At 33.2% G+C, this 13,762-nt stretch overlaps 1 long non-coding RNA gene across 1 annotated transcript in view; it reads right to left on the reverse strand.

Moving 5' to 3' along the window:
* Positions 1–253: 253 nt before the first annotated feature.
* LOC105372169 (uncharacterized) overlaps positions 254–13,762 on the reverse strand; it is a 41,781-nt gene continuing 28,272 nt past the window's right edge. Inside the window, exons 4-5 of the long non-coding RNA XR_935583.2 lie at positions 1,580–1,621; positions 254–316 (exon numbers count right to left, since the gene is read on the reverse strand). This is a non-coding gene — a long non-coding RNA (uncharacterized LOC105372169). The remainder of the gene's footprint in view (positions 317–1,579; positions 1,622–13,762) is intronic.

A 13,762-nucleotide genomic window follows, 5' to 3' on the forward strand; every position in this document is an offset into this window, starting at 1 on the left:
GGTTTATTTACTAAAATAAAGAAGAAGGGAATGAATATTGAGGGAAATTTAGTAGGTCTTGTCATAGCAGATGTCAAGGAAGGTCAATAATATTTATTATCATTAGTAGTATTAGTGGCAAAGGTAAAGCAAGGTTATATGAATGGACTGTGATAGCATCCATAATGCAACAAAGATTTATTTACCATCCACCTTGTGTTCAGAACTATGAATTTGATAGAGGGCCATAGAGGGATGTCATGCATAAAACTTACCTTGCTGGCACTGGTTGACTCCCCTTTCCAGGTCACTCTCTTCCAATCTTATAGATCACATCCTTGAGGACAAATAACAAAAAAGAGATAACTAAGTTATTAAAATATATTTTTCTGGCATAAAAAGGGAATGTAGTGTTGGGAGCAAAAGTAGTGGAATTCCACAGAATTCATGAGGTTTATTCAACTAATATTTTTGACCACCTACTATGTGCCAACACTGAGCTTTTAGCAGTTAATAAAATCAAAATTCTGTCCTCCTTGAGCATATTTTTGGTTGGAGCAAAAATAAAATTATATATTTTTCAACATGAGAGAAACAAATGTCCTTGCAGATAGGGGTGCCAGAGAAGTTCTCTCTGAAAAGGCAACACTTGAATGCAATGAGAGAGAAATCACCAAAAATTGTGAGAAGAAGATTCAAGGCTCAAGAAAAAATAACTCTACATCCCTAGAAATTGGAGGATGCTTGATATAAAGAACAACCCAGAGGCCCAGAAGAGGATGAGTGGACAGAGAATGATAGAAAACAAGTTCCAAGAAAGCCATGGGCTGGAACACGTAGGATCTTAATGTCCATTAGAAGTCTTGGGATTTTATTATGAGTGTGGAATATAACTTTTTATGAGTGGAAGGTGAAAAAAATGATGTCCATTTTAAAGGTATCATTCTGGATTCTGTGTGAGAGGTCATGGTAGTTTGGAGATGAAGTGTGGTGGTGGTGGTAAGTGTTTGGTTTCCAGAAATATTTTGAAAGTACAATTAATAGGATTGACTAATGTATTAGTTTAGTATGTGTGAGAAAAAATATTGGATGATTTTAATGTTTCCAGGATAAGCAACTGAATAGCTAGGTAACACTGAGGTATGAGTATGTATGGGTAGAAAAATCAATGATTTGTTCTGGACATATTAAAATTGTGATGTGATTATATATCTATGTATAGAGATGATTAATAGCCCATTAGCTTTACAAGACTGAAATTCAAAGAACAAAAAGGTTCTAAAGACAAAACTGGGAATCTTCAGCACACGGTGATATTTAAACCACAGAAGTGGACTAGATCTTATTGTGTAGTGAGTGTAGGGAAGAGAATCATCTTGAGACTAACCATTTTAAGAACTGCAGAGTACAGGTAGCTCTGACTTATGAAACACACATATACATATTGCGTGTATGTATATGTTTGCATGTGTGTGTGTCAGCATGTGTGTATCAGAGAGAGAAAGAGAAGAAAGAGAATGAGAAGAGAAAGAGAGAGAGAGAAGAAAGAGAACGCAAACGAGAACGAGAAAGAGAGAGGGAAGGGGAAGTCTGAGCCCACCTGATCTCCTTTGTCTTGCTCATTCTGTTTCCAATCAAAGACCTTTAAAATAAACAAAAACAAAAACTTGGCACATGACACGTCTATTTCCTAAAAATTAAACAAAGGTAAGAAACTAGGTAAAGTTTTATTAGGAAATCAGGAGGAAAAAAGAAAACCAAAGCATCCAGACTTTTAAACTACTAAATGCCATTTATTCTTCTGTAAATTCAACTCATAAAAGATTATTTTGATTTAACGAATATCCCTAAAATGCAAGTAACCCAGAGGGTCTTAGAAATTTTCAATAATTTTTGGATTAATGTTAATTCTTTATAAATTTGTTTTGGTAGATGTAGATTTAAGGGTTATCAGCATAACTATAATGTTTGGAACCATAGGCACCTCTGAGAGGATGTGTATCAGAAATTTAGGTAGACTTGGACAGAACCCTGGAACACTAGCAAAATACCTGCTTTTTTAATCTCTCTCATTTCATTTTCCTATTCCCAAGAGACAGTATCCCAGATTCATATTGTTAATTTATTTTCATTAGTGTTAAATAGCTTTTGTTGTCTAGCTTAAAAATGTACTTTTTATTTTTGGGAAGATATCTTCCGTAACCTAAAAACAAGATTATAGATATAAAATGACAAGCTACTGGTAAACTTCAGAGGGACCAGTCTATTTCTTTAACATGCCTTTAATGTAAAGCAAAGTTAACTTGGATTTAAACACTTTTATTTTCTTCTTAAAGGATCAGGGATTATAAAGATCAGTCAATATTTCAATTGTGAGGAGTTAGTTAAATAGAAGTATAAAGTTAGCAAGATCAATGCAATGATCTTATGACATGCTATAACAGTTCTCAATTATTGAATAGATATTCTGATATCAGCCTACTTTCTTAAATGTAAGCTTTAAAATGGAAAAAGAAAAATATAATAGAAAAATATTGAAAGAAATACAGTTTAATTTATGCAGAGGTTGTCATAATGATCATTTTTTCTAGCTAGGATGGTATACAAGATTTAATATTTGAACATGGATAGTTTATGTGGAAAATACCATAAAAATATTTTCAAAGCATTTGTCTCTGAAATGTAATGAAACTGGTAGCTTTCACTAAAAATATAACACTGTCAATAACTGACCATAATTCATTTATTTTGTTTTACATTTTTTGAGTTCTAATGAAAGATGAATTGTTTCTCTTGATATACATGATTTGCTAAGATTTATATTTCAACAAGGTGAAATGACTCAACAGAGGTCACTGGGGTGAGCTCATGTCTTCTCCTCGTGTTCTATTTTAGTTTACATTTTCCGAAAGAGATAATGTTCATATGTTTGAACAAATGTGTGTGATTTGATTGATCTGGATAACAAAACTGACAGCAGCTGAAGTTCTTAGGTGCTCAGTGATTTTTCTATTCCATATTTTGGTATTACAATAGTGTGAAATAACTAAATTTGTGAGGTGCTGTAATAGAACAAAGGTAATTATGAAGGATGTGTCAGCCTCTGTTAAATATTACTACTTTAATATGCCTCTTGAAAAATATTTCTTACATAATTGTGGTGAAGGAAAACATATATTTTATAAATCTCTTTTTGGAGGTAATATATCAAAAGTGCACATTGCCACACAATAATACAGAAGTAGTAAACACATGCAAAATAAGTTTATACGTTGCCTTATATGCAATGAAAGAGTAGTCATAGTTATAGATTAGTCTCACTGAAAATGAAGACGGATGATAAATATATATATATACGCATACCTGCTTATATATGTTAGAAGATATAACTAACTGCAGAAGAATTATGTAGAAACAAATTTTAGTTTAAGTCCCTGAAGAAACATGAAAAGTATCCAGTGAAGAATCCTCAACACACATCACTAACTCAAAAGTTTAATTTCAAACATGTGGTCTTTGTAAAATTTTATGTTCAAATATTTTACTACATACATATAAAACACACACACACATACACACACACACACACACACACACACACTGCTTTTCCTTTTACTGATTCTCTACTCCCAACTTCCATTGCCTAGAACATGTTAATGGTTTTTGATAAAACATAATTATGAACAAAAAGTAGGTAAAGTAAAACCGAAATCATGTCTATTGTTAGTAGAGTATATTTAAGGCTATGAAAGTTTAACGTAAGGAATTTACTTATAATACAATAAACATATTCTTCTGTGATTCTGTTTTTTAAGGTATTTTTCCTAGTTTGATTATTTTAGACTAAGCACAACTCCTGTAAATTGTGAGATTTCAGGGAGAGCCTTTCATCTGTCCCTGTGTCTCTTCGAAGTGATTCTTACAGGGGTTATTTATTTGCTTCTTCCCTCCAATTTTCTGGACTGCCAGGAGTCAGTAATTCCTGATGTATATATCTGCCATGATAACCCAAACTTTTCTTTAGACTGTTCCAAAGTCTAGACATTAAGGAAATATTGTGATTAAGAAGCCTGTGGTCATAGACTCAAACTATATTCTCTGATGCAGCTTTAGTAAATATAAGGATTTTATTTTGATTTCAATTTATTGTCTTTCTAGGTGTCTATTGCTATGTAACAAATAACTTCCAGATTTAAATCTTAAAACTAATGCTTAAACTAGGTTTTAAACTTTTAAAGTAAAACTTAAAACTAAACAACAAATTTTGCTGCTGAATCTGTAATTTGAGCAGAAGTCAGTGGAGGTGGCTCTACTCAGCTCCACAAACCTGGAGGACCTACTAGCAAAATGGCGTACTCCTATCTTCGGTAATGTGGTACTGGCCCTGGGAACTCAGCTGGGATTGCTGGCTGGTTCCTCTTCACGTGGGTGTCTTTGGGATTCCTCACACTCTGGTGCTTGGTATTCCTCAAAGCATAGTGGCTGGATTCCAAGAGCAAGTGCTCCAAGAGTGTAGGTGGAAGCCATCTGTTTCTTAAGGCCTGGACTCAGAAATTGGCAGAGCATATGTTCAAATGTATGCTCTTAGCCAGATAGTCCCAGAAATCCATTCAAATACCAGCAGAGGAGACATAGATCCTCTACTCTTGATAGGGATGGACATTTGCAGCTTTCTTTAATCTACCACAGTTCTCAACTCAAGAAGTGATGAAAGAAGCCTTCTGTATTAGGTCCCTGACAATATCATCTATTATTAATTATTATGATTTGTAATATAAATTGGTCAGTAATAAGTTTAGTGTTTTGTTCATTCTTTTCACTACAAATGATGAAACTAGGGCATAAAACAATTGATTTACCTAGTTCTCTCAATGAATCAATGGCTCAAAAAAATAGCATTTAGATTGTGTTCTAGACTATTTTAGATGTGAAATGAAAATATGTGCTTGCTCAATTCAATTAAAAAAAAAACTATGTATTGTAACCCTATCATTCATTTTTAATGAGCCCATGGCCAAATAAGCATCTGGCCTCAAGAAGCTGATAATACAGGGAAATGACATGCTAGTAAGCAATAAGCCCTAAATTCAGCTACATTAACATGCTCAGGGCTGCTGTACCTTTGTCTTTTCAATTAAGATACATGTGAGAATTTGTTTTTATAGTTTACTTGAGCCTGTTGGAGCTTCCCAAAACACACATTGAAGACCTTTTCTTCTTCCATTACATAGTTTTATCATTTGAAAATCTTACATGATGCTGCTTCAACAGACCAAGGAGTTACATTTTTTTTTATCTCCAGTCCTGGCTTTCCAACTTAGCTTCACACAATATGTTCAATTGCCTACATAACATTTCCATTAAGAAGCTTTAAACACATCTCAAATTCAATATTCCCACACCAATTCATGTTGATTGTCCCCAAACTTGTTATTCTTCCAGTGTTCTTTATAATGGTTCCCATAGATTTGCATTAGCCCAAAGGAGAACCGATCTTTGACAATCTTGTCTCCCTCAGCCTCCATGCTATATTTATTTGTCTCCAACTACACTGTTAACCCCACAAAGTAGACTCCACAAAGGCAAGGATTATGTTATTGTTGTTATCATTGCATCCCCAGTGCCAGGGTATAGTGTTGGTATTCCTTAAATTTTGCAAAATGAAAGAATTATTCTTAATTCTGTCATTATTTTGGAGATATTTTTGATGAATTCACAAAAGCAAATGGAGTTCTGAAGTGCATATGGTGAGAAACATGTGAGAATATATTTCCTTAAGTTTGATCATTTATAGAGATGAATCAGAGTGCACTAAGAATTGTTAAGAACTAAAAAAAAAAAAAAAAAAAAAAAAAGTTTGTGGAAAAAAATTCCATCTTGTAGATGTTAGGTAGTTTTAGGATTCCTAAGGGACTGTACAGACTTTTTCCCAAAGGAAGAACTAAATTTAGCACATCTCTGAATTCACATCACAAAAGTAGTCACACGATTTTATACTTCAGTCACCAACAGAGAGAAATGGCAAAATAGCACAAAAGACTGTTTCTCACATAGTGTAAATCATGTAGCAAGAATAAGATTTTCTGTTTTCTAGACTATCAATATAGCTGAAAGAATTTCCTCTGAGACAGGTAACACAGAACTAGACAGGCCATTCAAATGCCATTTAAACCTTAGATACTGAAAGCCCAGGTACTATTATTGCTTTTTTTTTACTTTTTGCTTATTTATCAAGTTTCAAGTAACCTCATGTTTTTATTTTTGCCTGTCATTGAATCATTTTTCTAGTTCCAGATAAAATTTCTTTACTCTTAAATTATTTTAAAAAGTGCATTCCTATCCATTCTTTTCCATTTGTTCTCAGCTCCAATGAGTTCTAATGATACCACCAGTTGGGAAGTAATTTTCTATTTACTTTTCTATTTTTCCAGTAAATTCTCAAGTTCTTAAGGCTGAATGTCATCTTGTATTGTTTCTTGTATTTGTGATATTTAACTACATTATTCCTTTTAAGTATGCATGTGCCAAGTCAGAGAGACTTGTGCAGACTTGGCACATGCATACTTATAAAAAAGAAATAATGAAGTGTTCAGATAAATATTAGGAAGCAAAACATAGTGTACTTCTGTGAAGGGCAAAAACAAGAAGTAAAAGAGAATGCAAGAAGAGAAAACCAGAAGGGAGAATATGAAGGTGAAAAGCTCACACTGTTTTGTAAACTACCACTTTTTAAACTCCAGTTTTAAGAAAATTAGCTTATTAGGTATATTTTCAGTTAAGATAGTTGTATTTTTCGAGCACTTTGGCCACAACTCATGTTAATAATTATACTAGGCATAAAGACTCAGTATTCAAATATGCACACAGAAATACACACATACACATGCACACAGCTGAAAATATTCATCAACAACATATATCCTTACTTCATGGCATGAATTCCAACTTTTTACCATCATATTTTATTCTTTTTCTGTTTTATAAATTGATTTCACAAATCGTTATTGAGCTGTGACCTGAAGTTTGGAAATATAGTAAATGGGAAGTATTCTGGAATATTGCGTATTGTGCGGAACATCTATAAATAACAATTTGCAGCAGTACTTTATCTTACAGTGTGTTTCTTCATCAGCTGTCAGTGATGAAGTAAGAACTACGAAAATAAAACAATGAATCTCGGATCTTAAATGTTCTGGACCAAGAATTTTGTGGAATCTCCGCCTATGGCAAAACCTTAAGATTCATTTAAAGAGATTACTTGACACATTTAATCATTTTTGTAAATGTTTCAGGTAAATGACTTTGGGTCATTATGTATTGAATGAGCCCAAAATATTTTAGAGGGAAAAATGACGTATTGGATTAATTCTGATTTATAGAAATTAAACAAATATTTTATCTTCCTATCAAAACATACTTTTTAAACCTGATCTATCACCATCAAACTCTACCTTACTGAATTTCACAAGCTTATTTTATATCAAAAAGAAAGATTTTGCATATTTATCGTATACCATAATTTTGAAGTAAAAACACTGTTAAATGTCTTCTTTTTTTAGGTAACATTATTGATATAAGAAAAACAATCTTAATTCTTTAGAGGATTTTTGTTTTTCTTTCTCATTTAATATAAGGGATTTCAATTTTAGCTTAAATTAAATTTACAATTTCTAAGGTAAAAACATAAATTTTATAGAAGTCAAGACACATAGAAGCTTGTAGACTTATTTTTGAACATTTAAATAAATATTGAGAAGTTTACAGTAATGAATATAAGGTGGCCAAGACAAAATGAAGGACAAATATATTTAATCAAGCTGCAGCAAGTGAAGTTTTGGGCAGAGCATTTAGACACATGCACTGCAGTAGTCTAATTTGAAATATACAATTCTTGAGATGCTATTTATATTTTCAATTCAGATCTAGAATGCAAGAGCATATCCAAAATTTAGCACTAAAAATGCAATTTCAATGTATCTCATTATGGCATGTTAAGCTTCTGAAGGTATTTATTTTAGATATATTTTACAGAAGTAAAATAATTTTTTGAGGTTTTTGTTTGTTTGTTTTATTTGAGACGGAGTCTTGCTCTGTCGCCCAGGCTGCAGTGCAGTGGCGCGATCTCGGCCCACTGCAAGCTCTGCCTCCCGGGTTCACGCCATTTTCCTGCCTCAGCCTCCTGAGTAGCTGGAACTACAGGCATCAGCCACCACGCCTGGCTAATTTTTTGTATTTTTCATAGAAACTGGGTTTCACCGTGTTAGACAGGATGGTCTCGATCTCCTGACCTCGTGATCTGCCCGCCTCGGCCTCCCAAAGTGCTGGGATTACAGGCCTGAGCCACCGCGCCCGGCCCGTTTTGTTTTTTTATGAAGTCTCACTCTTGTCGCCCAGGCTGGAGTGCGATGGCAGGATCTCTTCTCACTGCGATCTCCGCCTCCCGGGTTCAAGTGATTCTCCTGCCTCAGCCTCCCGAGTAGCTGGGATTACAGGAGGCTGCCACCACACCCGGCTAATTTTTGTATTTTTAGTAGAGATGGGGTTTCACCATGTTGGCCAGGCTGGTCTCGAACTCCTGACCTCAGGTGATCCGCCCGCCTCGGCCTCCCAAAGTGCTGGGATTATAGGCGTGTGCCACCGCTCCCGGCCATAAAATAATATTTTATAGCACCATGTAACTATCACTCTAAGAGGGATTACTGAAAAATGTAAGTCCCTGAGAGAACTGTACAGTTTATTACAAACAAATAGACAAAAATATAATGGGCTAGGAGTAGAGGTGGCAGTTTTATGAGAAGCCAAATTATCTAATATTTAAAAGTGGCAAGACCCTTCTACAGCCAAGTTGCCATCAAGTTTACCCTTCACCCTTAACTTATTATTTATTGGATATTGACAATACCAGTTAAAAACAGGTTGCATTTTTGAGGCAGAAATTAAGCAGATATATGTTGTAGTAAAAAAAATATATAAATAAAAAGGGCTAATAATTACTTTTAACATCTTTTAAAAGGAGGATAAGAAGAAAATTAAGTAAGAAAAAAATTTAAAAATTTTTTATAAATATTTGAGGATTGCCTGTATATTTGAGAGATTTTGTCTACCTAGTATTACATGTCTACGTGGTAGCAAACTTCTTGTAAACTAAATGTAAAAGTGGTCAAATGACAAAAAATTAACAAAACTATGATTGATAATTTTATTTTACTTTTTCACCAATTAGTTTGATAATATGTAATTAAATAAACTGACAAATGCTTAGTCATTATAAAAATGTTAGCCCAGATTTTTAAACTAAGTTTCTGGTTCAATAGTTGAAATTACTGGAGTACATTAGTTACTGGCATGATCACTGGGTCCAAATCCTGGATCCAGTTGGGATTTGTAGTGTGTGTATGAGTTTGGGAAATGGATTAATCTCTTGGTGCTTTAGCTTCTTGAAATAAAAAATGGGTACATATATTTTTTGAGATAGTTAATAGAAATGATTGAAGTACTTAAAACATTGATGAGTAACTATTTAGCACTACATAAGAATTTGCTTTTATTGGCTATGCCTTAGTCCTTTTGGGTTAATATAACAAAATACCGTAAACTGAGTGGCTTATAAACAACACACATTTATTAATCACAGTTCTGGAGGATGGAAAGTCTGAGATAAAGGTGCCAGCAGATTCACTATCTGGTGAGGGCCAGTTCCTCATAAATGGCAACTTCTTGTGTCCTCTCCTAGTGGAAAATGCCAATGAGCCCCTTGGACCTCTTTTATAAAGGTTCTAATCCCAGTCCTGAGAGCTCCTTCCTCATGATATGATCTCCTCCAAAGACCCCACCCTTAATAATATCACATATGGGATTAGGCTTTAAAACATACTTTCAGGGACTACAAATATTCACACCGTAACAGTCTATTTTAATACTAGGAAAAAGAATAAATAAATGTCTGTCAATAAATTGATTATACATATGTGGATGCTGAATATACTACAGTTTATAAGAGAAGGAATTCCCTTATAATTTGGATGAATATAAAATTATACCTATGTAGGTTACATAGAAACTAAACTAGAAATATGTAGGTGTAAATAATTGGCCATTGTATGATTAAATCAAGAATAATCAACCCTTATAATAATATTTGACCTTAAAATTAATATTGTTTCCATTTCTTCACTAAATGTGGCCCAACGTATTTGCTACCAATTTTCTAACCTGTGTCTTTAAAACACAGATAAGGTTCTATATTGTAACAAGAAATGATAGGTCCTTAGACAGCAGTTTATTTTATATTTTGTAACAAACATAAAATCCTCATTGGTTTGTAATATATTGAGGGAGTAAATAATTTCAGCAATTTGGGGAGCAACCTTAAAACATAAAAGAGCCAGGATTTCCCACTGGCCAAATTAAAAAGAAATCATAATCAAAATTACAATTATAGTTAAGAGAAGCCATTGTGATTTTAAAGTCACAAATTCGTAACGACAAAATGCAGTTGAAATAAGAAAAAAGAGTGCCTGTAAGCAGATGTGATTGCTTTTGCTGTTGCCCATTTTCTCTTTGGGAAATTGAAAAAGAGAAATACCAAAAACTATGGTTAAACGAAATTCTTCTTAAATAGAAGACATAAAAGGAAAAGAGGATAAAACAGTACCAGTGGTCCCCAAAAATAACGAGAAAAATAGCTTTTTAATGATTGGTCAGCACATGCTGATATTCACAAGATAACAACATGGATTTTACCTTTCATCTCTTAAGAGGCATAAACAGATGACAGTGAAGTATGTACAGACAGAAAAAAAAAAAAAAAAAAAAAAAACGCTATATTGGCCAACCCAGGCTGAGCCTGTATTCCTGCTTTACTTTTGGCTTTGCTAAAAGATTGTAACTCTAGAGTCCATGGCCATTGCACCCTGAATATGCCCAATCTTGCGTGATCTCAAAAGCTAAGCAAGTTTGGCCTGGTTAATACTTGGATGGGAGTACATGATAACTCTGTCAAGGTACTTAAATAAATATATCCCTAGCTCAGTCTGGGGAGCACTTTTAATAGCAAAAGCTGCAATTACTTTTGCACCAACCTAACATAAAATAACAATTGTAGTAATAATAACAGGAGTACAGAGTAATAATAATTGTAATTTGAAGAAATTCAGGTATAAGAAAGTATATCCTAAATGTGTGGTATCTTCTTAAGTAAACACCTATGGGGATTTAAATATTAACTGTAATTCTTCTTTGTTTTATTATTTATATAATGTATTCAAATTTTTAGAGAAATACTGGTTAAACAATTTTATAAAATTAATCTATTGAGTGTCAAACAACAAATAAAGTTTCCTCTTGCACAAAAGTGTCTTCAATTAAAAAGTCTGTCTAATAATATGAAAATTTTCTACAATGTAACAACTCTAATAACAGGTTAATAGTGTCATATACGAATAGCTTATCATCTTCCCATTTGTTTTTTTCTAAAGCTTATATATAAAATATTACACAATGTAAACAATTTTGAGTTGTGGGAAATAACCAACCTTATTATGATAATGATTTCTAACAAAGAAATTTTCATTGTTCATGTTAATTTATGGTATAAAGAAGATATTACTTGGTAAAAATGTTTAGCCAAATTATAACTAAAATAGAAATTTTTATATTTAAAATTTTGATAAAATAGAAATTTTGATAAAATGGAAATTTTCACCTTTGAAAGTTGAATTCTGAACTAAGATTTTCAATAAAATTCTCTTTTCCTTAAAAAAAAAAGCAAAATTGGGACTAAAAAACAGAACTCCATTTAAAAAAACAGAACTCCATTCTTTGCAGCAACATGGATGCAGCTGGAGGCTGTTATCCTAAGTGAACTGATGCAGAAACAGAAAACCAAATTCTGAGTAGTGTCACTTATATGTGAGAGCTAAATCTTGGGCTCACATGGACATAAAGCTAGGAACAGTAGACACTGGGGAATGCAAAAGGAGGGAGGGAGAAAAGGGGCAAGGGCTGAAAAACTTCCTATTGGGTACTATGTTCAGTATCTGGGTGACAGGATCAATAGAAGCCCAAACTTAAGCACCACGCAATATAGCCTGTAACAAACCTGCATAGGTACCCCCTGAGTCTAAAGTAAAATGGAAATCAGAAAAAAAATAGTATTCTATAGCACTGAGAATTCGAAGTCTGATGGAGTTGCTCTATTTTTTTGATATGCACATCTCATAATCATTTTATATATTTGAAACTGTTTTCAAGGGGAGTAGTTAATATGACCTTCACATTTTATAATGTTAAAATATTAATAGCAAAATAATAGTGATAAAAGAATTAATACACTCCTTCTCTTCTAAAGGATGCCACATGATTTTAACAACATTAAAAGGAAATCTTTCTCTTTTAACATGACCTTAACCCTGTTTTCTAAAAAATGTAATATTTAAGAGTTATCTACAAAATAATGGTTATGGTGCTACACCCCAATCACTCTGCTCTGTGTTTAGAAAGTGTGATGAAAAGGCAAAATAAAAGGTTTCGCAGAAAGCATTTCTAGAGGTTTCTAGAAAGTTTGTATAGACTGTCAATATTGTTTGAACACACTTTGGAAGCCCATTTACCTTCTTGAAATAATGTAGATCGTTTTGATTTCTATATGAATGGGAAATCACCCTGAGATGTCTAGTACCATGCAGACAACATCTTCCTATTCTGCACGAAGACTCCACGTCAATAAAGGACCCCAGGTTAAAGAACGATTGGAATTTATTTGCATAGTATGTTCACATCTACTTGATGTGGGTTGCATTTAGCTATAACCTGCAGCAGGCCTTCTTTTGGAATCAAGGACATGTTGTTCCAGGCACACAGGAACTAATCAAGAGACCTAGCTTCCAGACCCATCTGCAATACACATCAAGCTACCAACTATGAAAAATAAATTAGTCTTTGTGATACACTAGTCTTGCCATCTGGAAAATTATAGTGAAACAAGGACTTTGATTTTCGATCTTTAGCGTTCTGCAGAGCTCTAATGGATTAAGAGTGGTGATATGGAGGCCCTCACGTGGGGAGGGGAGACAGTGCTTTGATCTGATCTTTATACTGGAGTTTATCCAAGTATTTCTGAGCTTGAAAAGAGTACAAACTGGTGAAAATAACTGGATTAAGTGGCCTCTAAGGTTTCTTCTGGTTCTCATCATCTATGATATGTATTTCCATTCTCAGTACAGTCATTTCATAATATTAAGAAGCCTCAACCTGAATATGATTTACTGTATCTGCTTAGGGGCATGATGCTTTCCCAATTTTTTTTTTTTTTTTTTTTTTAGTAAAAGCTTCATAGTAACATCTTCAGAAGCAGACCTCCTGTGACTTATTACATAATAGATATTCATATGAGAGTTGAATATATTTGACAGTGTTCATTTTTAAAAAATTTAATTTTAAATAAAGGGATATCTTTCACCATATGTCCTATAATTATCGTTGAAAAAATGTTATAACATATGCCACTTTAATTCGACACTTCTGTTAGTCTTCAAATTTTTTTCCAGATGAGCTTTGTTTTGGAGTGATGAATTTTTGTTCTTAAAATATTCCATTGGGAAAGCACTCTAAAACACGAGGACAGTTTAAACATTTTTTTACAACTGACTAAATATAAAATTATAAATTTAAAAGTATTTGTGCATTTAGAGTATCAGAGTTCCTAGAAAAAATGAGTTATGTAATATCCACATTTCTTACTTTTTGCAGTTACTAAAAAATTTTCCTTTGGTGTTTGACATCT

This window comes from Homo sapiens, chromosome 18 (assembly GCF_000001405.40).
Source record: "Homo sapiens chromosome 18, GRCh38.p14 Primary Assembly".
In the NCBI taxonomy this organism is placed as follows: Eukaryota; Metazoa; Chordata; class Mammalia; order Primates; family Hominidae; genus Homo; species Homo sapiens.